Below are 26343 nucleotides of genomic sequence, written 5' to 3'. Positions count from 1 at the left end.
GTCCACTCAGGGTTAAATGGATTAAGGGCGGTGCAAGATGTGCTTTGTTAAACAGATGCTTGAAGGCAGCATGCTCCTTAAGAGTCATCACCACTCCCTAATCTCAAGTACCCAGGGACACAAACACTGCGGAAGGCCGCAGGGTCCTCTGCCTAGGAAAACCAGAGATCTTTGTTCACTTGTTTATCTGCTGACCTTCCCTCCACTACTATCCTATGACCCTGCCAAATCCCCCTCTGCGAGAAACACCCAAGAATGATCAATTAAAAAAAAAAAAAAAAGAATGAGGACTATGCAGCCATAAAAAGGATGCGTTCATGTCCTTTGCAGGGACATGGATGAAGCTGGAAACCATCATTCTCAGCAAACTGACACAAGGACAGAAAACCAAACACCACATGTTCTCACTTATAGGTGGAAATTGAACAATGAGAACACTTGGACATAGGGCAGGGAACATCACACACTGGGGCCTGTTGGGGGGTGGGGAGCTGGGGGAGGGATAGCATTAGGAGATATACCTAATGTAAATGACGAGTTAATGGGTGCAGCACACCAACATGGCACATGTATACATATGTATCAAATCTGCACATTGTACACATGTACCCTAGAACTTAAAGTATAATAAAGAAAAAAAAAGAACAAGAGCAACAATACACAGATATATGTATCTGACATCATATACAAAAATGAATTCCAGGTAGATTATAGGTTTAAAAGTCAAAGATTAAATAACATAGCTTTTAGAAGAAAACATAGAAAAATATCTTAAAGATTTATAGATAGGAAAATATTTACTAAATAAGACACAGAGTATATTAAACATTAAAGAAGAAAAAATAATTGAACTACATTAAAATTAAGAATTTCTGGCTAGGTGCAGTAGCTCATACCTGTAATCCTAGCACTTTGGGAGGATCACCTGAGATCAAGAGTTCGAAACCAGGCTGGCCAACATGATGAAACCCCGTCTTTACTAAAAAAATACAAAAATTAGCTGGGCATGGTGGTGGGTGCCTGTAATCCCAGCTGCTTGGGAGGCTGAGGCAGGAGAATCGCTTGAACCCAGGAGACGGAGGTTGCAGTGAGCCGAGATTGCACCACTGTACTCCAGGCTGGGCGACAGAGTGAGACTCCATCTCAAAAAAAAAAAAAGAATTTCTGTTCATAAGCTACCATTAAAGATTGAAATGGCAAGTCAAAGAGTGAGAGAAGATATTTTGGTGATATATGTATACACACACACACACACACACACGTAACAAAAGAATTATACAGATATATAAAAATTTATTCTTTAAAATCAATAGAAAAAAATCAGTAGGAAAATATCAGGTAACCCAATAGGAAAAATAAGCAAAAAGCTTGAATAGGCACCTCACAAAAGAGCCTATACAAATGGCCAATAAATATGTAAAAAGATGATCAACTTGATTAATCGCCAGTGAAAGCATTAAAACCAGAATACAATAATGTAACATACTCTAAAAATGGCTGAAATAAAAAAGATTGAGGCTGGGCATGGTGGCTCACACCTGTAATCCCAGCACTTTGAGAGGCCGAGGGAGGTGGATCACTTGAAGCCAGGAGTTTAAGACCAGCCTGGCCAATGTGGCAAAACCCCATCTCTATTAAAACTAAAAAAATTAGCCAGGCATGGTGGCAGATGCCTGTAATCCCAGCTACTCGGGGGGCTGAGGCAGGAGAATCACTTGAACCCAGGAAGCAGGGTTGCAGTGAGCTGAGATAGCACCACTGCCCTCCAGCATGGGTGAAAGAGTGCAACTCTGTCTCAATAAATAAATAAATAAATAAATAAATAAATAAATAAGCAAGCATCTCTAAATGTTTGAGTGCCAACATGATACTCAAAGGAGATGCACATTGTAGCATTTTTGATTTTTGGATTTAGAAGGCTGAACAGGTAAGTATAAAACAAATATTCTAAAATTTGAAAAAATTCTAAATCCAAAATACTCCTGGTCCCAAGCATTTTAAATAAGGGATGCTCAACCTGTAATATCAAATGTTGATGAGGATGTGGAGCAACTAGAACTCTCATAGATTGCTGGTGGGACTGTAAATTGATACACTACTTTAAAAACTGGGAATAGCTACTAATCCTGAGTGTAAGACCCTATGACAACCAAAAGATATGTATATTCACCGAAAGACATCTATAAACATGTTCACTGCAGAATAATTTTAATGGCTCAAAACTGGGAGCAACCTGTCTACAGCAGATACATAAATTGTAGTATTTCCATCCAAAGAAATACTGTGCAACAGTAAAAATGAACAAACTACAACTACATGCAGTGACAAGGATGAATCTCACAAACATAATATGGACTAAGAGAAGCAGGAAACAAAAGATCACTGAACACATGATTCCACTTATGGAAAAATAATAAACAGGCAAAACTAAGTTATGGTATTAAAAGTGGTAGACATGGCAGGGCACAGTGGCTCACGCCTGTAATCCCAGCACTTTGGGAGGCTGAGGCAAGTGGATCACCTGAGGTCAGGAGTTCGAGACCAGTCTGATCAACGTGGTGAAACCCCATCTCTACTAAAAATACAAAAATTAGCTGGGCATGGTGGCAGGCACCTGTAAGCCCAGCTACTCAGGAGGCTGAGACAGGAGAATCGCTTGAACCCAGGAGGTGGGGATTGCAGTGAGCCAAGATTGTGCCATTGCACTCTAGCCTGGGTGACAAGAGTGAAACTCTGTCTCAAAAAAAAAGAAAAAAAAAAAGTGGTAGACTTCTTTTCCAAGAAGATGGAGTAGACACAATTTTCTCTATCACTTCTGCTAAGTACAACTAAAAACCCTAGACAATAATATATAAAGTAAACATAGAAGACTCTGAAAGATAGACAAAAAAAGGCAGACCAGCTATGGACCTTGGTACCCAAGGAACAACACAAGTATGAGTGGAGCTGAAGAACCAAGAAATACTGATGGGTGAAGATAGGTGCAAACAAAAAGCCCTAACAAGTGCCTGCTTGCTATCTAATGAACCAGGAAAGGGGCAGTCTAGAAAGACACAGAACTTTAGATAATAACTTCGACTGCAGCCAAATACCACAGAAAAAATGATCATAACCCTATTCCCACTCCTGCCCACACCATCAAAGGCTGAGCAGGGAGCCTACAATTCTGCCCTCACCAAGCTATAATGGGGAACCCCCAACCCCTCAACTAAGGTGGGATCAGAGAAGATAAAGGAGCAAGGACTTTCATCCCTGCTAGGCAGTAATGAGGCCACAGTATCAGTGGAGATTACATGGGAAGCCTGGACTGCCAACCCACCTGTTGGTAACAAGGCACCCTTACCTTTCCCCACTGGGGTGATGTCAGGAGTTACAGTAGAGAATCAGGACTTTCACCACTGGCCAGCAGTAAGGAGGTCCACCCCTCACTCTCAATGGGTGTCACTGAAGGCCATGTGAGGAGGCCTACTGGGGAGCTGAAATGCCCATCTCCACTTCACAGTAATGAAAAGTCTTTCACCTTCAGGTATCCAAAGAGGCTGAGTGAGGAACTTGGACTTCTACCTCCAGCTGGCAGTAATAAAGCAGCATCCTCCCTTCTCTTGCCAGAGCAGTTTCAGAAAAAGTCAGCTAAAGCAGAAGGTCTAAATAAGATCCACAGTCTCATAAAATAATACCCAAAACATCTTGCTTTCAATAAAAAATCATTCGTCACACCAAGAACCAGGAAGATCTCAAACTGAATGGAGAAAGGCAATCAATGGATGCCAACATTGAGATGACAGGAATGACAACCATTTTGAAAACAACCATCATTTGGAAATAATAGACACTGGGGACTCCAAAAGTGGGGAGAATGGGAGGGGGATGAGGGCTGAAAAGTTACCTGTTGTGTACAATGTTCAATATTTGGGTGATGGGTACAGCAGAAGCCCAATCCCCACAACTACACAATATACCCATGTAACAAACATGCATTGTACCCCCTGAATTTAAAATATTTTTAAAAAGCCATCCTAAAAATGCTTAGATAGGCAATTATAAACATGCTTGAAACAAAACAAAAAAAACAGAAAGTCTCAGCAAAGAAATGGAAGAAAAAATGGAAAACTTATAACTGGAAAATACAACCACAAAAATAAATCTTAATGGATACACTTAATAAAGCAGAATAAAGGGGACAGAGGGATTAATGAGTGAATTGGGATACAGAACAATAGGAATTACACAATCTGAACAGAGAGAAAATAAAGTGAAAGAGCCTTAAGGACCTATGGGACTGTAACTAAAGATCTAATGTTCATGTCATCATAGTCCTGGAAGGTGAGGAGAAAAAAAGGGAGTGAAAAAGTTGTCAAAGAAGTAAAGGCTAAAAACTTCTCAAATTGGCAAAAGACATAAACCTACAGATTCCAGAAGCTGAGCAATCCCAACAGGATAAAACTAAAACAAAATGCCCACACCAAAACTCATCAGTCAAACTTCTAAAAACTAAAGGCAAGGAAAAAAATTTTGAAAGCAGAGAGAAACAACTTACCAATGGGAGAAAAACAATTGAAATGATAGCAGATTTCTGAGAAACCATGGACACTGGAAGTGGCACAATTTTTTTTAAGTGCTAAAAGAAAAGAATTGTCAATGCAGAATGCTATATCCAGAAAAAAAGACTGTCCAAAAAAACAGAAAACTACTAATATCCCTGGTAAATCTAGATACAAGAACCCTTAAGAAAATATTAGAAAAGAGAATTTAGCAACATATAAAAAGAATTATACAACATGACAAAGTGTGGTTGATTCCAAAAATACAAGGCTGATGCAATATTTCAAAGTCAGTCAATTCAATCTACCATGTTAATAAGCTAAAAAAGAAAAATTACTTCAGCTTACCAATCAATGCAGAAAAACACTTGATAAAATAAACATTTGAAAAAGTCTCAGAAAATAGGTTCTGAGGTAAAAGTCTCAGAAAACTAAGAACAGAGGGGAATGTTCTCAATTTGATAAAGATCACCTACGGAAACCCATGGGTAACACTGCACTTAATGGTGAAAGACTGAATGCTTTTTCTCTAAGATAGGGAACAAGGCAAGACTGTCTGTTCTCATCATTCTTATGCAACACAATGCTGGAAGTTCTCACCAGTGCAATAGGAAATAAAAGAAAACAAAAGACATACAGATCAAAAACAAAGAAACTGTCCCTATTTGCAGTTAACATGACTAGGTAGAAAATCCCAAGAAACCTATAAATAAACTTCTAGAACTAATAAGTGAGTTCAGCAAGTTCACAGGATACAAGATAAGCATACAATAATTAATTGTATTTCTGTATACTAGCAATGAACACATGGACACCAAAATTATAATACCATTTACAGCTGCTTAAAAAAGAAACACTTGGGTATAAATTTAAAAAATGTGTACAAGGCCTTATGCTGAAAACCATAAAATGCTGATGAAAGAAATCAAAGAGCTAAATAAATGGATCCATGTTTATGAATTTCAATTCTCCTCAAATTGATATACAGGTTTAACACAACTCCTATCAAAATCTCAGCAACATATTTTTGTAGATATAGACAAGATTTTAAAATTTATACAGAAAAGGAAAGAAACGAATAGCTAAAGCAGTTTTGAAAAAGATCATATAGCTGTGCATTAAGACCGTGTGGTATTAGCAGAAGGACAGACACATAGATCAATGTAACAGAATACAGAACCCAGAACAAATCCACCCAAATATGCCCAACTGTTTTTTAACAAAGATGCAAAAAAAATTCAATGGTGGAAAGGTAACCTTTCAACAAATGGTGCTGAGGTAATTAGACATCCATGGGCAAAAATAATGAAACTCGGCCAGGCGCAGTGGCTCACGCCTGTAATCCCAGCACTTTGGTGGCCGAGGTGGACGGATCACCTGAGGTCAGGAGTTCGAGACCATCCTGACCAACATGGAGAAACCCCATCTCTACTAAAAATACAAAATTAGCTGGGCATGGTGTCATGTGCCTGTAATCCCAGCTACTCGGGAGGCTGAGGCAGGAGAATCACTTGAACCTGGGAGGCGGAGGTTGCAGTGAGCCGAGACAGAGCCATTGCACTCCAGCCTGGGCAATAAGAGTGAAACTCTGTCTGAAAAAAAAATAAATAAATAACCTCAAACTAAGTCTTATACCTTATACAAATATTAACTCAAAATGGATCATTAACTATACAATTTGAAACTATAAAACATTTAGAAAAAAAAAAAAAGAAGAAGAAAATCTTTAGCCTCTAGTGCTAGGCAGAGTTTTTAGACTTGACACCGATACCATGATCCATAAAAGGAAAAACTAATGTTAGACTTCATTAAAATTTAAAACTTTTGCTCTTTAAAAGACTCTGCAAAGAGGATGAAAACACAAGCTACAGACTGTGAGAAAATACTTGGAAACCACAAATCCAGCGAAGGATTAGTTTCTAGAATATGTAAAGAATTCTCCAAACTCAACAAACAATCCAATTAGAAAATGGACAAAAAACGTGAAGGGACATTTCACTGAAGAGGATAGACAGGATATATAAATGCATAGATACAAATGAAAAGATGTTCAACATCATTAATGATTAGGGAAATGTAAATTAAAACCATGATGCTATATCACTACACGTCTATAAGAATGGTTAAAATAAAAATAGGGATAACACTGAATTCTGATAAGGAGGCACAACTACCAAATTACTCATATACTGTGGGTGGGGATTTAAAATGGTACACCACTCTAGAAAGCAGTTTAGCAGTTTCTAATAAAACTAAATACATGATTACCATAAAACCCAGTAATTACACTTCTGGGAATTTATTCCAGATAAATGAAAACTTATTTTCACACAGAAACCCATGCATAAATGTTTATAGCAGCTTTCTTCATAATAGCCAAAAAGTGGAGACAACCCAAAAGCCCTTCAAAGGATGGAAGGACTAATTAAACAAATTGTACTACAGCTTTACTATGGGATATTATGCAGCAATAAAAAGGAGCAAACGATTGATACATGCAATAAACTGGATAAATTTCCAGATAATTATAGAATGAAAAAATCCTATCTCAAAACATTACATACTGTATGATTCTATTCATATAACATTCTTGAAATGACAACATCATTGAAATAGAGATAGACAGGTGATTGCCAGGAATTCACTAGAGAGTGGGGACAGGAGGGAAGTAGAGGTGGCTATACAAGGGCAACATGAGGGACCTTGGTGGCGACAGAGAGAAATGTTCTGTATCTTGACTGCCTCAATGTCAATGGTGCTATTATGCTATAGTTTTGCAAGATGTTATCACTGGGGAAAAGTCAGGGGGTACAGGATACATGGGACATTGCTCTATTATTTCTAACAACTACATGTGAATCCACAATGATCTCAAAATAAAGTTTAAAAGAAGTTAGGATAGGGGTTACCCTTAAGGGAGATAGTGACTAGAAGGAATTTTGGGGTGCTGATAATGTATTTTCTTATCTAGGGCTTTATTTCATGAAGTGTTGACTTTGTAAAAACTCACTGAACTACAGTATTCTACAACAAAAGAACTTAATATGAAGAAAAAAAAAGATGAAAGTAGGAGAGAAAAAATGAGACAGATATAGCATCTCCCAGGAAGTCAAACATCTAGAAAATAATAACTCCAAGAAGGAAGAAAAGAAAAAAATTAAGGGAAGAAAACTTTAAAATTTCAAGAAAATGCCTCAAAACTGAAAGATAAGAGTTGTCTGAGTGAAATGACCCACCTAGTACCTAACACAATGAATAAAAATGGACACAAGCCAAAGCACATCATCGTTTCAGAACACTGGGACAAACGAATTACCTTACAAACTTTCAGAGTATAAAATATTTCACATAATAAGCATCAGGAATGAGAATGGCTTCAGATATCTCAACAACATCATCACAATCTATATGTAGCCAAATTATTACTTGAGTTTATGGGTGAAATAAAGACATTTTACACATGCAATTTCTCACAAAATTTATCTCTTATGTACCCTTTCTCAGGTTGTGTTCCACCAGAACAAAAGGATAAATCAAGCGAAAGACAGACAAGGGATACAGGAAATAAGAGATCTAACATGGGAGAGAAGCAACAGGAATACAGGGATGACAGAACTGGAGATCCCAGGAATGACAACTTTGAAGGGCAACCAGTCTAGTGGGAATAGGACTGAAGGTTTCAGGAGAGACCGTCAGAAAAATGACACTGGTAGAATACCAATACACCTGAATGTCCTAAGAGGAAATTTAGATGGCTGGTGAAACATTCAAGGATGAATAACTGATAAATACAGAGAAAGTTAAATAAACAGAACACTACAAGAAAACAAAGAGTTGCACAGAAAAAGAAAAAATGCAGTTTACTACATGTCTCTGTTATGATTACACAGTCATACAAATACAAACATGAATACTGAACTAACCAAAATTGCCTTATAGCTACATTGGGAAGTCAGAGAAATGAGAAAGTTAGGCTTTCTCATTAGACAGTCAGGAGCAGAAGAGAGAGTTAACTTGGTTTCTTCTATAGTGGGAAGACACTAGATATTATCTAGTGTCTTTAAATAAAATTAAAGTCAAGAAATACAGATACAAGAATTTTATTTAAAGACATACAGGTGATAATCCTACTATTTTGGGAGGCCAAGGCAAGAGGATCAATTAAAGTCAGGAGTTCTGGGCAACATAGTGAGATCCCATCTTTAAAAAAAATTTTTTTTTTAAGTTAGCCAGGTATGGTGGTACATGCTTACAGTCCCAGCTACTTGGGATGCTGAGGTGCCCAGGACAGTGAGCTATGATCATACCACTGCACTCAGCCTGGGTGACAGGGTGAGAACTGTCTCAAATAAATAAATAGGTGAATATCAAAATAATTGCAGAAAAAGTAGTTGCCTCTGGGAAGAGAAATAAAAAGAGCACAGAAGTCTGTTTTTTTGTTTTGGTTTGTAACCTTGTAAACATGTTCATTTTTTTAACTTCATACATCCATAACTCTCACTTTAAAAATAAAAACTGAGAAAGAAATATGGAGTCATGTGGATTTTGTCTTTACAAACGACATTAAAGCCAACTACTAACACCCTTCTATCACTGACTAAACATTTTTCAGAGTTGTACAGAATGTCCTTCCACATCAATTCTAATCAGGGGCCTTAGAGTGAACTTTAATTAATTATTCTACATAAATCATCTGCTGAATCTTCCCCAGGTAGATCAGAGAAGGACACAAAGTCCTCTTTAATGGGCATAATTTCCTGAATTGTCCAAGTGATTATGAAGAACTGATGCCCATATGCTAATTCAAAAATGGAAATATCTTACATTAAGATATTGATGTAAACCTTGATGAGTGACTTTCTCCCAAAATATTATTTCCTCTCCACCATATGCAAATGACTTTTGAGTATCATAAGGTTACACAAGGTTTCTCTGGTTACATAAGTCCAGATGTTAAGTAGTTCTCACAGTATCAACAAATACAAAGTCGTTATGGAAATGTTTCTGTAATATGACATTCAGTATCCCATATATAAATGTCATAGACAGTAACTTTTATATGAATTTCAAATCTTAAAAGACAAACAAAACTGTTAAACTCAGGTCATTATTTTTTTTTACTCAATATTTTCAGGTCATATTTAGATTTTGGTAAAAAGGAACCAAAACATGGAGAAATCACATTATAAACACAGTTATGAAATAAAGCATAATAAATAAAGTGTAATCACAGGATCAGGGACAAAAAGAAACCAAAAACAAGTATATCCCAATGTAGGGCATCTTTGGCTGAAGTGGATTATATTTAATTTGTCTTAAGGAATGACAAAACAAGTACAAAGAGTAGTAAAAATATTTATATGCTGGATGAGACAATCTGTTTATAAAGTGAAAGGAGATTTTGTTTATTGAGAGGTTGATATGGGCTAAATGTCTACAGCCCCTCCAAAATTAATAAGTTGAAGCCCTAAACCCCAATATGATGGTATTTGGAGGTAGCCCCGTTTGGAGGTAATTAGATTGAGAAGAGGTCATGAGATAGGACCTTTTTGATGGGATTAATGCCCTTATAAGAGGAGGCAACTCTCTCTCTATCCACATAGCAAGAAGGTGGCTATCTAGTAGCCAGGAAGAGGGCCCTCAACAGGAACAGAGTTTACTTGCACCTTGATGTTGGATTTCTCAGTCTCCAGAACTGTGAGAAATAAACTGTGGTTCAAGCAACCCTGTCTATATATGGTTGCTATATATATATGCTATATATGGTTGCTATATATTTTGTTATAGCAGCCTGAGCAAACTAAGACAGTGGGCAATGAACATGAATCAATTCAGTTAATATTTTGTTTTTAATGTCTGAGTCTTAATGCTTTTTTAAAAAAAGAAACTTGAAAATATAGAGTTAAGAAGACATTTCAAATTATATACAGAATTAACTTTATGATCTTTTCTGGGAAATATTCTCTAGTGCAGGTTTGCAGTTCATCCTAATCAGATAAGGAAGGCTTTGTTTACTTTTTAGGAAAGCAGAAGTCTTCTCACCTGGCACAGTCTAATGATAGTAATCAATACAACTATTGTGAAAATATAACACAGACTTCTAAAACCTGGAAAGCTATGCTACCAGTACCTACACTGAGTCATTCAAATAGCAGGTATTTCTGAATTATTGATGAGAGGCAATGAAATCATTCTTATTAAAACTGATAGCTTTCTTCATTATGTATTTGAATTAAAACTGTTCAAACATATATTGAGTTATCCGCAAATATATGAGAGTATGAAAATGGATTCAACTTTTGAAGAAAGAAACCCTGAGATCGAATACATTATTTGGAATAATTGCCAAAGGTTAGATTTACAAACATGATAAGAATGTGTGCTATAACATAGCAGTGACATAATTATCAGTGATGGAGAGGAAATAGTCCCTGGATACCACAGAAGGGACACTCTTCCTTGTGCCATGGCCATCATAACTCAGTGTTGCCTAGTGATGAGGGCTGAAGCTGCGAAGCAGGGAAATCAACTTTTCAAACCCTTGCAGCCAGCTCTGTCTTGTCAACTGTTATTGGCCAACATTCTCAATGGCTTTGGGAAATGTGAGTCCCAGAGCTGGACTCTAACATACTGCTGCAATTATGACCAGTATAGACACAGGGAAACTACTGTAAAAGAGCGTTAGAATCTAGGTATTCACACACCGCACTCAAACATTCAGTTCAACCCCCAGCTTCTTCCAGGATAGAGCTTTTTCCAGAGACACAGTGTGCGAGGTCAATTCCCATAGATTTTTTTTTTCCATCAGGATTGCTTTAGCATCTGCTAGACATTTAGCCAATGTCATGAAAAAAATATATAAGGTTAGTTTTATAACAGTCACACAGGCTACAAGGGCACTGATCTGTGCAAAGATGAATGACTATTTTGGAATCTTCCTCTTCCTTTCAGGGTATTGTGACATGGTTCCTTTATGGCAAAGCCAAATGATGAAAGAAACAAAACTGGTCTCAGTCCTGTCAGCCCAGTTTCCAGCCTGAGCCCTCCAGGCACTCAGCACTGCCCACGGGCTCCCCAGAGCTGCTACTAGCTCCCCAGAGCTGCTACTAGCAGCATTCCACTGGGATTGAAACTCCTCCCAGAAACTAGAACCTGGCACCCTTGTCATTCTTTTGTTTTGTTTTGTTTTTTTAGATAGGGGCTCCTTCTGCCACCCAGGCTGGAGCGCAGTGGCACAATCACAGCTCACTGCAGCCTTGACCTCCTGGGCTCAAGTGATCCTCCCACCTCAACCTCCCAAGTAGCTGGGACTACAGGCACACACCACCACTTTCAGCTATTCTTTTCAGTTGTTTGCAGAGACAGGGTCTCACTATGTTGCCCAGGCTGGTCTTGAACTCCTGGGCTCAAGTGATCCATTTGCCTCAGCCTCCTAAAGTACTGGAATTACAGGTGTGGGCCACTGTGCCCAACCACCTTGTCATTCTTGGTGGGCCTTTCCAAGGCTCCTAGTAAAACCTGACTGCTAGATCATAAGCAAGCTGATTCACAACCTTGGTTGCCCCATCTTGACAACATATTTGCACTTCAACAGGGAATCAGTGGATTATACTATCATATTATTACCAACTACAATACAATAACACTTAAGTAACACTTGCTATGAACCTAGCATGTATTAACTCATTTAATACTCACAACAGTTCTCTGGGGTGGAAATGATTCCTTTCCCAGTTTTACCAATGAGGAAACTGTGGCACAGAGAAGGCAAATAACCAGCCCAAAGTCACATAGGGAATGAGTAGCAGTGCTGCTCTTAGCAGGTACTGACTCTCAATGCACTGTGCAGCTATGAGACAGGGATCCCAAAAGTTAGGTCTTAGGCCTCAAAGACTTGCTTTATCATTGACAAGCAATGATAAACCACATCTCTCTCTCTCTCACATACACACACACACACACACACACACACACACACACACCACTAAAGGGTTAAATGAAAAGTCAGAATAATAATGGAAGAAAAGCCACATAGCCCTATATAATTTATTAACTAAAAGATATTAGGGACAATAGGCATGCTTCTGGAGTTCCAAGTAGGGTGTCCATACTTCAGACAGGGGTTGTCAAGAAAACGAGGGGCTTAAATTGAACTCTGAAAGATGGGCAGGATTCACAGGCAAAGATGAGTGGGAAAACTATTCCAGGGTAGAGGAAAGAAAAGGCAGCAGAGGATCCGTAAAAGATTTATCCCAAGACTAAAGGGCACATGAGGCCACCCAGACAGCAACAGATGGCACAGGGCCTTGAATACCAGGCTGAGGGACGACAGAACACAAAATACAATGGAATTATACTGAAAAAAAGACATTCATTTGAACAACCAAAAAAACCCTACAGCTATAGATCGAGCACCCACTAGTAGGTAGGACACATGCTGGAGGCCACACAGTCCCTGTCATGACACCCAGAGGCGAGAAGAAGACGGGGGCACACACAATCACAACACCTTATGCTAAATGTTCAAACAGGAGCAAGCACAGGTGATGTACACAGAGGGTCTGTGGTGTGGGGCCTCGAGCCAATCTTAAAGGATGAATAGATTGGCAGGGTTTTGCTACTGTGACCTTGCTAAGGATTTCCCAACATTTGAACTTTTATTTTGGTGTGCTGATCTTACCGCTAATGATCCAGTACTGAAGTCCTGTGATGGTATCATTTCAGAACAAACAGTACTTTATGAATTCACTATATCTAATGGGACCTTTCATAACATCTGGAAATAGAATACACTTGAAACATTTTCCTCACTCCTTCCTCTACTTCTAGAGATTGTTCTCACATCTACTGTAGGATTTATAGGTAATTTTATTGCTATCTTTTTACAGATATCTCGTTTGCCCAACAAGACTGTATACCCCTCGAGGGAGGAATCTAGAACATAACATATTGCCCTTTACCCCTGTAAGCTCTCAATACTGTTTATTTTGACAAGCACCTGATGACAATAAACATATAAATTTTTATTAAAGTTTAATGTGATCAAAAATTCATTTTAGGAAGTAGAGTCAAAAGAAGTCCCAGTTGCATCCCCCTGGCTTTGATAAATCAGTGCCTCTTTAAGCCTCCTTTTCCATACAAACTTAAGTCAATTAACTCCCAGAAGGATTCTAGAGCTTAAATGAAATAAAGTATGAGAAAGCATTCTGTTAATCTAAAAGCAACATATGAACATTTGGTGTTGCTGGTAGTTGTAGTTTTATTCCAGATATTTCATTAAAACTCTGGGTCTTATTTTGCAATTATGCCAAAAGCACTTTTCCCAGAATTATTTGGCACCACCCTTGAACTAGGCTAGTATTTCATCCATCTGTGCTCATGAATTTATGTTCATGTCTGTTTTCATGTCTACAGCCTGATGGGGGCCTGTGAGGCACTGGTTCACTGGAGAACACACTATTGTAATATGGACTGGAATGATAATTCATTATCTCCAGGAAAGAAATAACTATTCACTTAAAATAAAATATTCTGTAGAAACATTTTACTTATATTTGTAACATCATAAATCTGAAAGAAAGGACCTGAAATCCTCTCTAACATTTCCTTTCAACTTGCTAACAGGGTGAAAAAGGAACAAATTATTTTGATCTCTTAAGGGTTGGAGGAAATAGCTTATAACCATAAAGATGACTTTAGTAATAAAGACCAACTAGATTTTCACTTTCACTTTGTGGAAGAAAATAATCAAATGTCAATTAAAAATTTATAATTTAGGTTCCTCAGACCTTATCAGCCATCATGAAGCAGATTCCTACTTATTAGTTTTAGACTCCTGATTAAATATTGTGCCAATATAGCATAATTTATAATATAAATTTGAAGCAGGCCCCAGAACTTCATTTCCTTCTACCTTTCAAATAAGCTTCCTGTCTTAGAACAAGCCCAGCGGGAGGAAAAAGTAACAGTTCACATTACAGAGCTATTCTAACACTATTAGACACTGAGGAAGTTAAGAGGGTTAAATAAAGCACAATCTATACACGAGACAAGGCAGTTTAAACAGAAATGTATGGGTGCTTCTTTCTCAGACCTTTTATGAGTTTACAATTGAGACCAGAATATAGATCTCAAGGTTTATAATACATTTTCCTATAGCCCTGGACTATCATCAGTTATTTTTACTTACATCCCCTAAATGTGCTATAGTCTAAAAGAATAATTTATATCCTTAGTACCTTCCCATATATGTAATCTAAAATTGTTTTATTTTGCTGTTAGGGTTCTGATAACTTGAGAATTACCATAAGCTATCAATTCTAATGATATAATTAGTTTCAGAAAAAGGTTTATTACTTAGCCCATAAAATAAAAAAGTGGCTGAGCACAGTGGCTCACATCCGTAATCCCAGCACTTTGGGAGACAGAGGCGGGAGGATCACTTGAAGCCAGGAGTTTAAGACCAGCATGGGCAACAAAGCAAGATCCCATGTCTACAATTTTTTTTTAATGAGTCAGGCATGGTGGTTCATACCTGTAGTTCTAGCTATTCAGGAGGCCAAGGCAGGAGAATCACTTGAGCCCAGGGGTTCAAGGCTGCAGTGAGCTAGGATCACGCCACTGCACTCCGGCCTGGGTAACTGAGAGAGATCCTGTCTGTAAATAAATAAAAATAAAAAAGATAGATACTTTAACATACATACCATACCAATAATTTTTAAAATGGAAATATTCAATGCTGGTGAGTATGAGAATTGACAGGCATTGTCATTCACTGAGAGTAAAAACATAAACTTTCTGAAAAGCAAAGACTTAAATGTAAAGATTTTTATTGCAACACTTTTCACAACAATCACAACTGAAACAAAGTAAGTGATCAATAATAAGGACAGTTAAATAAGTTATGGTGAAAATAGGTAAATAAGCTATAGAGAAAAATAAAATCTTATATCCATATCATGGGAAAATAGAACTTAACTACATGGTAAAATGCATCATGTTAAATGAAAGAGCAGGACACAAACCTCTCGATATAGTACAGTTTATATTTGTAAATCTATGTAGCTCAAATAAAATGTATTTTAGAAAAAGACTCGATAAAAATGACACCAAAGTGTTATCAGGGATTATCTCTGAGTAGTAAAATTAGGACTTATTTAATTTTTTTCTTATACTTGGCTGGATTTTTAAAAAATCATTATTTATCACTTTAAAAATACATATTTAAAAAGGAATTATTTTAAATATAAAACATTTGAGTGACAATTAGGATGTCCTTGTTCCCGGAGTTCCTGAAAAATTATAGAGTTATTAAATTGAGGTCTGATCATTCATCTAATGCCTTGTGCTTCCCAGTATACGGAATTGAAAGGGACTGTCACAAGGACTTTGAGACACTCTTAAAAGATATGCACACCTTTTACAGGGAGCCTCATTACACAGAAAATAAAATTGAAATGTGTCATGTTTACTCATTCAAAAGAATCATAATAAAGTCTTTTATTTAAACTCCCTTATAAATGTGAATTGGGGCATATTTGTTCATTAGTTAAACACAATTGCACAGGCATGATTTTGAAATAGAATTAAGAAAGGCACTCCATAATAGCTAAAGAAGCTTGCCTTTGCTGGATTGGAGCACGTTAATCAAGAACACAGCGCTTCTTTATTTTATGTTCCAGGACACATGTGCAGGACATGTGGGTTTGTTACATAGGCAAACGTGTGCCATGGTGGTTTGCAGCACCTACCAACCCATCATCTAGGTATTAAGCCCCACATGCATTAGTTATTTATCCTGATGCTCTCCCTCCCCCTGCCACCCAACCCCCCAGACAGGCCCCAGGAACACAGTACTTCTTAAAAGTCATAGGCAGCATGCATGTCACTTTGTATGATTCTGCTTTATGTGTTTGGTGTGGTGCCTTCCTCCTTTGCTCTACCTTGAGCCAAGTACCTTGAGGCCAAGTATGTTCTACCTTAACTTTGTCCCTAAAAGTGCCCTGAACAGTTAAGAATTCCCAGCGTGACTCACAGGGACCCACTCCTGCCACTGCTCCAGTGCTCAGTTTCTCCTGGAATCCTGGGCCCTGACTGCCATGTCTCCTCTTCACCCCACAGTATAGCAGGGCTCATGGTACATTGGTTTATTGGAGCTCAGAGAGAGCAGGCCCCGTGCAGAGTGGAGTGCACCTGCCTGTGGAACAAGGTCTCTCTACATAACCAACACAGACTGCTAACTACCAGTCCAGGCTCGCCACTCACTTTCCTTTGGCACGGTTAACCCACACATCGGGCTTGTTCAGGCAGCACCAGTTCCTCCTTTTTATCCTCCTCAAAGCCACACACCAGAGCTCACTCTGCCCACTGCTGATTCATAGTGTCCCTGTCTTTCCCTGTCTTTCCCCCATCCCACTCTTGGTCTCAGATCAAAATGCTTCCAAACATTTCCTCAGAGTCATTCAGAGCTGGCCTTTCCTGTTTTGTACTTGCCAAATGTTTCCTGAATTGGTCTCCCATTCTAAAACATGCCCCACAACAAATGTCAAAGAAAGACATCTCTGCCCCCCTTAATTCAATTTTTTTCCACATCTCTTGAACATGGTTTTTTAAGGGTCTGAATTTCTTCCCATCTTTGCCCTATTCTCCCCCATTCTACCCCGCCCCTCCCATCCTAAAATGCAGCAGGACCACCAGGTCACAAGGTAATACAGAACTCTCACTCACATCTCTTCAACATAATCATCAACACGTGGCTCAGCTAGATTTACATCATAATGGATCAAGGCAGGGAGAGGCTACTTTGAATACATACAACATTGGGATGTAGTTTTTGTTGGTGCTGAGGTAGAGGTGGGGGTTTGGGAGGGTGTGCTCTTTTTAAAGCCATAACATAGCAACCAGTAACTATAGCAGACACATATTAACATATAGGCTCAAGGTTTAGGTGTTCCACGTTTGTAATTATTTATTATTTGGTTGGCTTTTCTGTTTTGGCCCCTGCACCAAACATCACTTGTCTGAACAAATGACTGGTAGATTCCAAAAGTTGCCCAGCCAACTTGAGACAATGCCATTTTGCAAAAACAGTAAATAAATATCATCCAAATGTGGGCAATCAAAAACAGCTACAAAGCAAATGTTACTGAATCCAGCAGTGGGGCTAAGTACTGGATAACGTATCATTCAGAATTTAGGAAAACAAATCAGGCTGACACAAGCCCCTCTCACCCCCAAAATGCCAGTAGAGTAAATGGGAACAGACAGCTAATGTTGGATAATTAAACATGGAGGAATTATAAACTCAAAGGAAATGTTCTTGGTGGAGGCATTAAGGTGTTTTCATTGCCCCACACAGAATTGACATCAGATGTGTTTGTTTGCTTTTCCCAGGAATCAAAAATGCTATGCCCAAGGAAATGCCATGTTAGTTGAGTTTGAGGAAGAAATTTTACCCAAACTGGCCTTGTAGTAGGGTAGGACTTTGCACTTGATTTCTGCCTTTAAAGATAACCTATTGAACAAAGTTTCCTAAATTAAAAGATGGAGATTTCCTTCTGCCTAAAACATAATTAGAACCCAAAATGAAATGTTGGATAATACCTAAAATTGTGAGAATATCTCTTCTGTAAAATACTTTTACAATTCCCTCTTTCTCAAGATTACCTACTACCACAATGATAATTAACCAAGTTTAAGCATGTGTTTTCTTGATTCTGAAAAGTCTGAATGTATTATGGCTCTGGATTTCTAAGTCTGGAAATGTATTAATTTTTAAGGATTCTAAGCAGTGGTTTTAGTTAATTTTACATAGAATTGGATAGAACTATGGGACTGTATTTAACAAGTACATATGCATCAGATTAGTTTAACTTTATGATAACTTGCTTCTCCTAAATTGTTACTAAAAATAATTATACCTAAAGTCATCCAGAATGCCATAATTTCATGAGATGACACAGCAGGTAAATTGGTTTCTCCAACTCCTACCTTCTACCAGATTGTTCTGTACAGAACAATCATGCTTCCAAAGACAGCCACCACTAGCAAGACCAGGAAGAAAGAAATTCTTATCACCCCTAATCAAGCAGATAAATTGTGTATGCTCCAAAGCATTCTTATTGAGGAGGAAAACTGAGGAGTTGTAGAATATGCTACAGTTACTATTAGAAAAAGTAAAAGCCAGTCACCTGAGACTCTTTACCCTTTGCCCCCCAATTCTCAGTATGCCACCTTTCACTTTGATCTCCTGAGTCTCATTTCACTTCCCTAACATTAGAGTTTAGGCACATTCAATTTTATCTTACTTTGGATTGTTATAAAATCAATTAATTCTAGTCTTCTTTTGTTTTCCTTTTTAGTTTATATAATAAGAGAACACATGCTTGTTCCAAAAACAAAATTTTAAGCCCAAACATAACTTTATAAGGTAAAAAGCAAAAACATCCTCTTTTCTCCATCTTGTCTCACTTCCTGAAGATAGCCACTGTCGGCTGGGCGCAGTGGCTCATGCCTGTAATCCCAGCACTTTGGGAGGCCTAGGCAGGGGAATCATGAGGTCAGGAGATGGAGACCATCCTGGCCAACATGATGAAACCCCGTCTCTACTAAAAAAATAAAAATTAGCTGAGCCTGGTGGCATGTGCCTGTAATCCCAGCTACTCGGGAGGCTGAGGCAGGAGAATAGTTTGAACCCAGGAGGCAGAGGTTGCAGTAGGCCGAGATCGAGCCACTGCACTCCAGCCTGGTGACAGAGCGAGACTCTGTCTGAAAAAAAAAAAAAAAAACTACTGTCAACAGTTTGGGGACAAAAAGGCGTATGTGTGCCTGTATGCAGGTTTAAACAAATGTATATAAATTTCTTCTGAAGCTAGTTTTTTTTTTTCTTTTTTTTGAGATAGAGTCTCGCTCTGTTGCCCAGGCTGGAGTGCAGTGGCGCGATCTCGGCTCACTGCAACCTCCACCTCCCGGATTCAAGCAATTCTCTACCTCAGCCCCCTGAGTAGCTGGGATTCCAGGCGCCCGCCACCACGCTCAGCTAATTTTTGTATTTTTATTACAGGTGGGATTTCACCATCTTGGCCAGGCTGGTCTTGAACTCCTGACTTCGTGATCCACCTGCCTCGGCCTCCCAAAGTGCTGGGATTACAGGCATGAGCCACCTTGCCCAGCCATTTTTTTCATTTAATATACAGCATCTTGATTTTTCAGCCAATGTGCAAAATAGCTAGCAGACACACATTTTTTGCATTTCTTCCTTTCCCTATAATGAGATTGCCAAATTAAGATTTGCTGTCAAAGGAAGTAAAACAAAGAAACCTGTCAGCTTCATACTGCCTTCAATCTACAACTGGTGAGGACAAAAGGGTAAACATACACACATTAATATACATACGTAATAAATATATAAATTATCCTACATGGCTAAATGTTAACATAAGTAATACATGTACATTGAAATCAAGTTAATTTTCAAAGGCACGAAGCTAAGGAAGACATCTGCGTAGGTGGAGAGACTTAATAGGTTCTGATTAGGGAGGGACACCATGTGGAAATTTCCTGGGCTTTGGAGCCAGAAACATGAGGTCAAATTTAACTCTACCTCTTACTGATTATGTGGTTTGTGTAAGTTGCTTAACCCTTCTGAGCTTCCTTTTTGTCATGCACAGAACTAGGGGAAAGATTTATCTTACAGAGATTGAGATACTAAATGTTTACAATGGTGTCTTGAACATAATAAGTACCCAAAAAAATGCCTTAATACTGTTAATAGTCCAGACACTATATATGATGGAATTGGTGATCCAATACTCACACCACCAAATACCTGTGAACTCTGCTTTTTGTCTTTGTGTTTTATTTGCCTTCACGCTTTTATATTTATTTGTATAGAGATGGAAAGTGCCTTAGAAATAAACTGCTGTAAACATGAAGGACACACAACTACTTAGTAGCTTTAATGCATTATTGAAGTGATGTTCTCTCCTCCTGTTTCCCCAGAGCATCCTGCACTGGGCTCATTAACAATGTCCCATCCTTCCCCTAAGCAATCCTAAATTTTACTTACACCTCGTGATAAATACAAGCCATCTGACTATCACTAAACAGCTGACCATATCCTGCACCTCTGCTAGCAGCTTGACGTGTCAAAAGCCAAGCTTCCCAAAGAGGAGGATCCTATCCTTTTACTTAACAAGGCTAAAACAGATGCATACACTTTTAGCTGGCTAGTGCCCACATCTTGGGGAAAGGACCTACCAAGTACACATCTCCTTTTATTACATATTTTAGTCAACTGTATGTCCACCCACCCTTCACATTCATCTATACTTAAGAGGTTAGATTTCTAGAAAATCATGGACTTCTAGAAGGATTAGGGGAAATTTTGGCCACTATAATATCCAACCATCCTCTTTTCCATGTGAGAAAACTGGGGCTCAGGAAGATGTGACATGCCCAAGCACACACATCTATTTAAATACCAGTTGGGATTAGAACCCCAACTCTTTAAGTCTTTTGCACACTAATAAGCAAGGTATTATATGTTCCAGTAGTTCTGTGAGGTGCTTATTCAATCTTTTTGGGATGAAAAGAAACGTCCGTGGTTGCGAATGCATAAAGGTAATTAACCCACCTGTCTGTCCATGTGGGGATGGGATTAACGAGGGGGAAAGTTGCGTTTGTATTTTTCCACCATCTTACCTAAATTTGCAGGAAAATTGCTCTATGGGCAATAAATATGACCCAGAAAGACTAGCAACCCCCAGTAGTATCTCAAAAGGGCTCCAGAGACATGTTAGACCAAGTGGAAGTAAAGCACGAGGTGGGGGATGTCTGCTAGGATGGTGGCTGGCAGAGCAGAGGTATTTTTTTTTCCGTATTTATTAACCTGGGAGGGCAGACGTTGTCAATTTCCTCCTCCTGCCACACAAGTGGCCGCGTCCTTGTCACTGGGGCTGTGTGGAGGTTCTCACCTCCTCCTTTTTCCCAGGGATGTTTATGGCGAGGGCGCGGGTCGGCCCGGGCGGAGGAGGACCCGGGCATCGGCGCTCACCCTCCGTCCCCACCCGCGGCAGCAGCTGTGGGCGCCCGGCGAGGGCTCCCTGGGCAGCGCCTTTGTTTTCCCGACTCCAGTTACGTTTGCGGAAGTGCTGCCAGCACGGGGCGCGCTGGGGGCGCAGGCGGCAGCCTCCCCCAGCACCCCACAAAGATGACACCCGACACGGAAGCCGGGGGAGGGAGGGAGGGAGGGAGCGGCGGGCGAGCGAGGCCCGAGCGGAGACAGCGGCGCACGCTGGGCTCCGAGCCCCGGCCCCGAAGCCCCTTTCCCGGCAGCAGGTGTGCGCGGCTGAGGTGCCTACCCGCCCTCCGGCTGGGCCCGTGCGGGGCGGGGGAGGCCAGGGCGGGTCTGCGAGCCCCTTCTCCGCAAGCCGGGCCCGACTCACCTGCTGCGGCGGCGGCAGCGCTCAGCTGCGCGGGGCGCGGGGAGCCCTGTCCCCGGAGCACGGGGCGGCGGCTCGGGGCGCCGGGGCGGCGGCTGTCGGGGCAGCGCGCACCATCCCGGGCTGCTCGCGCGCTCCTCCGGGGCTGCGACGGGCTGGGCGGGGCGCGGCGAGGCGAGGCGAGGGATGCGGACCGGGTGGGGCCACGGAGGACGGAGGCGGAGGGCCCAGCGCTCCCGCCGGCGCGACCTTCTCTCCCGCTGCGGCTCCTCCTCCTCCCCGGCCCCGGCCTCACAGTCGCCGCCGCCGGTCACTACCGGCTGGACCCGTTTCAGGGCCGGGCGCTGAGGACCGGCCGCCAGGTGCAGCGCTCCGCCTCCTGCGGCGGCGGCGGATGCGTCGACTGCCCGCTCCCGGCCTCCAGCCCGCCCCGGCGGCCCGGAGGGACACCTGAACCCAGCCGGGCCCGGGGAGCACGCTGAGGAGGCGAAAGCACTGGGCGAGGCTCCATCCCTACCGCACCCTCCACCCCCCCGCACCCCCAAGCGACTTCCGCTGAGCCCCCAGGCAATGAGTGCGGGCCAGGAAATGTGGGGGAAAATGTACTAACATCCCTTATTCCTTGAGCGCCTTTTAAGTGGCACACACAATGCTAATGCTGTCAGTGCGTTATCTCCGCGTCTGTCCCAGGTTGACCCGGGAGGGAGGAGCCGGCGGGGTGCGGGAGACAAACGATCTGTGAGTTTCGGGGCTCACCAAGAAGGGGGAACACTGAGACGAAGGCACCCTTTTTCAGGAAGCTGCTACTGGCATCTTGCTGAAAAGCCAACCGTGTGTGTCGCACTAAGAATATAATTAAAGTTGTATTTCTAGTTAAACACGCAGAGAGTTGGGGGAGAGTGGAGTATTCACTTGGCAAGTATGTCTGTGTGCCTGTGATGGGCTTTGGGGGATGCCACATCCTGTTCTTAAGGAGTTTATTGTCTTGTTCTGGCAACAACGACAAGAGTGACAATGGTAGCTAACGGCAACAACGACAAGAGTGACAATGGTAGCTAACGCTTATAAACATCGATTATGTACGGGGCACTGTGTAGGTACTCTTTGAGCCTTATAACCCTATAGGTGTAGGAAACGTTATTCCCATTTTACAACTGAGGAAAGCCGAGGCTGAAAGTTAATGTGACCCATCCAAAGTTACTAAACAGCGAAAGGGAAAGCAGGCTTCTTTTGTCTCCAGGCTTTAAGCTCTTAACCGTGAAATCATACTGGTAAGAATTTGATAGGCCCTGAAGTTTCTGAATTTTGAGTCCCTCTTTAGGAAGAATAAAACAATTACAAATACGAAGTTTCTAGGGCCCCTTCCTGAGCTTATGAAGGGTCTCTGAAGCTTAAACTATAGTAGCCTCATGCTAAATCCACTTTCAATATTGACGTAGATATTCAATCATTTCTTTCTCCAGGCATTTCTTTCTCCTGTCAGGAACACGAGACACTGGTCCCCTCCTTGAAACTCTTCCCTTCTCTTCTTTTGGTGCTCCGTAAGTGTTGGATTTTCCTCCTTGAAACTCTCCCCTCCTCTGCCTTCTGTGACCCACAAGTCTTGGGTTTTCCTCTTCCTCTCTGGCCACTCCCCTTTGCTCCACTTGAGTTTTAGTTTTCCTTGGGTTTTGTTCTAGGCTTTCCTTTCTTCTGATTCTGTTTGTTTCTGCGAATTCTCTCACTCCTTGGCTTCAATCACAGAATATTTGAGGGTGCTCCAAAAGCCCTCTCTCGGGGTCAGCTTTTCTCCTGAGGGCCAGATCCTTATGGCCAGTTGTCCAGTGGGATGTGTCACAGGCACCCCAACCTCACTAAGTGCCACGTCAATGTTTCTTTACCTTCTGTTCTTCCCCTACTCGTTTTTTTTTTTTAAGATGGAGTCTCACTCTGTCGCCCAGGCCGGATTGCAGTGGCGTGATCTCAGCTCACTGCAACCTCTGCCTCCCGGGTTCAAGTGATTCTCCTACCTCAGCCTCCTGAATAGCTGGGATTACAGGCATGTGCCACCATGTCTGGCTAATTTTTGTATTTTTAGTAGAGATGGGGTCTCACCGTGTTGGCCAAGCTGGTCTCAAACTCCTGACCTCAAATGATCCCCCCACTTCAGCCTCCCAAAGTACTGGGATTACAGGTGTGAGCCACTGCACCCGGCCCCTCATTCACTCTTGCTTCTGGGTTCCCAGACTCTGGGGTCCCAAACAGCCATCCACCCAGTTGTACAAGGCCCTTCTTCTCAATGCTCCTTTCACCCTTATACCCATGCCCAGTGTATTAGTTACCTATTGCTGCTGTAACAAGTTATCGTAAACTTTGTGGATTAAAACACACATTTATTATCTTACGATTCTGGAGGTCAAGAGTCCAAAATGGGTTTTAGTGAACTAAAACCAAGGTGACTACAAGGCTGTATTCTTTCTGTAGGCTGTAGAGAATAACCCATTTCTTTTACCTTTTCCACTTCTAGGGGCTGCTCACATACTTTGGCTCATGGACCCTTCCTCCATCTTCAAAGCACACCACTCTAACCTCAGCCACAATCCTCACATTGCCTTTTCTGACTCTGACCCTCATTACATTGGGTTCACCTTCATCATCTAGCGTAATCTCCTCCTTTCAAGAATCTTAATCCCATCATCAAAGTCCCTTTTACCATGAAGCATATTCACAGGCTCCTGGGATTGAGACATGGACATCTACAGCGGGCCATGACTCTGTCTATGACATCCAGTCAGATGCCAAACTCTTGATTCTACCTTTTCAAATATCTCTAGCACCTGTCCTCTTCTCTCCATCCCTGTGCTATCCTAATCTCTGTTATCTCTCCTTTGCCTGCAAAATTTCTCTGGTCTCTCTGCCTCAAAATGTTCTCTCATCCAATCAACTTTTCACTTTGCCACCAAAGTAATCTGTTTTCTTTTCTTTTCTTTTCGACAGGATCTTGCTCTGTCACTCAGGCTGGAGTGCAGTGGTGTGATCATAGCTTACTGTAACCTCGAACTCCTGGGCTCAAGGGATCCTCACACCTCAGCCTCCCAGGTAGCTGGGACTACAGGTGCATACCACCATACCCAGCCAATTTTTAATTTTTTTTGTACAGGTGGAGTCTCACTATGTTTTAGGAGAGGAGCAATGTTGGCTGGTTGCACAGCTAGGAGGTACAATACAATGTGAAGGGTGCCTCATGGTGTTGCACAATCCTATGAGACAGCAAAGAAATTACATGGTAAGGTGTTTGTAAAGATTCTTTTGGTGTTGGGCGTAGTGGCTCATGCGTGTAATCCCAACACTTTGGGAGGCCAAGGTGGGCGAATCACTTGAGCCCAGGAGTTTGAGACTAACCTGGGCAACATGGCAAACCTCATCTCTCAAAAAGTACAAAGATTAGCCAGGTGTGGTGGCATGCCTATAGTCCCAGCTACTAGGGAGGCTAAGGTAGGAAGATTGACAGAGCCCGAGAGGTCAATCTCCCAACCTTAGCAGTGAGCCATGATTACACCTCTGTACCCCAACCTGGGTGACAGAGTGAGACCCTGTCTCAAAGAAAAAAAAAAAAAAGTAACTGTAACCAGTAGCAAGGAGAAAGGTTAACAGTGGCATGGACCACAGTGGTAGTGGCTGGGATGGAGAGAAACAGATAGATTTGAGAGTTTGGGGAAGTATATGAGCATACTTGGTGATATGTTGCATGTGGGAGGCAAGGGAAAGGAGGTGTTAAGAATGACTCACAGGTTTCTGGCTTGAGCAACTAGGGAAGATTGTGATAACCTTTACTGAGAGGGAGGAGACTGTGGGAGGAGCAGGCTGGAAGGAAAAAAGGAAGAATTCACATTTGACTCAGTGAGTTTGAGATGCTTGTGAGCCTTGCAGGTGGAGCTGTGAAGTAGGCAATTAAACTTGAGTCCACAGCCCAGAAGAAAGGGCTGGATTTGGCAGTCATCAGTATTGAGGTACTATTTACAGTCATTGGACTGAAGGGGATTACTCAGGAAGAGAATAGACTCAGAGAGCCCAGAGAAGGGCCAACATTTACCAGTTGGTATAGGAGAGAAAACCAGGAAGGATCAGTCAGAAGTAGAAGGCAATTCAGGAGGATGTTGTCACTGAAGACTATAGAAGAGTTGTTTCAAGCAGGTGTAAGTGGTTTGCACTCTCTCTCTCCTCCATATCCTAGACAAAGCATTATGTCCTCCATAGACTGGCTTTATCGCCCCTCGGTGGCTTCGTTTACCATGTGCCTTCTCTATCATGGCATCTATCATATACTATTGTAATCATTTGTTTAACTTCTATGCTAGATTGCAAGCTCCTTAAAGACAGGG

General features: G+C 41.1%; 2 protein-coding genes across 11 annotated transcripts in view, besides 3 other annotated features; one reads left to right on the top strand and one right to left on the bottom strand.

Annotated features, from left to right (window-relative positions):
• The window catches only part of NEMP2 (nuclear envelope integral membrane protein 2), a 227365-nt gene extending 218297 nt beyond the window's left edge, over positions 1 to 9068 (top strand). The window contains exon 9 of the mRNA XM_047441941.1: positions 8046 to 9068. Coding sequence (XP_047297897.1) covers positions 8046 to 8073 — 28 coding nt within the window. The 3' untranslated portion in view covers positions 8074 to 9068. The remainder of the gene's footprint in view (positions 1 to 8045) is intronic.
• The window catches only part of MFSD6 (major facilitator superfamily domain containing 6), a 94739-nt gene extending 71826 nt beyond the window's left edge, over positions 1 to 22913 (bottom strand). For 4 of the 10 annotated variants that reach the window (XM_047444825.1, XM_011511368.1, NM_001375992.1 and 1 more), the window contains exons 1-2: positions 21986 to 22134; positions 15076 to 15197 (exon numbers count right to left, since the gene is read on the bottom strand). The gene's annotated coding sequence lies outside the window, so the exon portion shown is untranslated. Of the gene's footprint in view, positions 1 to 15075; positions 15198 to 21429; positions 22135 to 22738 lie in introns of those variants that run through there. The other 6 variants (NM_001375988.1, NM_001375990.1, NM_001375987.1 and 3 more) reach the window with 4 other exon arrangements.
• Positions 1467 to 1666: a silencer, noted in NCBI's record as "fragment chr2:191293549-191293748 (GRCh37/hg19 assembly coordinates)". NCBI's record gives its function as "represses an EF-1alpha promoter that drives an FKBP-Casp9 reporter gene in an ReSE screen in phorbol 12-myristate 13-acetate-treated (for megakaryocytic differentiation) K562 erythroleukemia cells {active_cell/tissue: K562(+PMA)}" and the evidence as "EXISTENCE:reporter gene assay evidence [ECO:0000049][PMID:32094911]".
• Positions 21514 to 22553: a silencer, noted in NCBI's record as "silent region_12178". NCBI's record gives its function as "represses an Ori minimal core promoter by ATAC-STARR-seq in GM12878 lymphoblastoid cells {active_cell/tissue: GM12878}" and the evidence as "EXISTENCE:reporter gene assay evidence [ECO:0000049][PMID:35858748]".
• Positions 22814 to 22863: an enhancer, noted in NCBI's record as "active region_16860". NCBI's record gives its function as "activates an Ori minimal core promoter by ATAC-STARR-seq in GM12878 lymphoblastoid cells {active_cell/tissue: GM12878}" and the evidence as "EXISTENCE:reporter gene assay evidence [ECO:0000049][PMID:35858748]".

Source organism: Homo sapiens, chromosome 2 (assembly GCF_000001405.40).
Source record: "Homo sapiens chromosome 2, GRCh38.p14 Primary Assembly".
In the NCBI taxonomy this organism is placed as follows: domain Eukaryota; kingdom Metazoa; phylum Chordata; class Mammalia; order Primates; family Hominidae; genus Homo; species Homo sapiens.
This window is presented reverse-complemented; position numbering and strand designations above follow the sequence as displayed.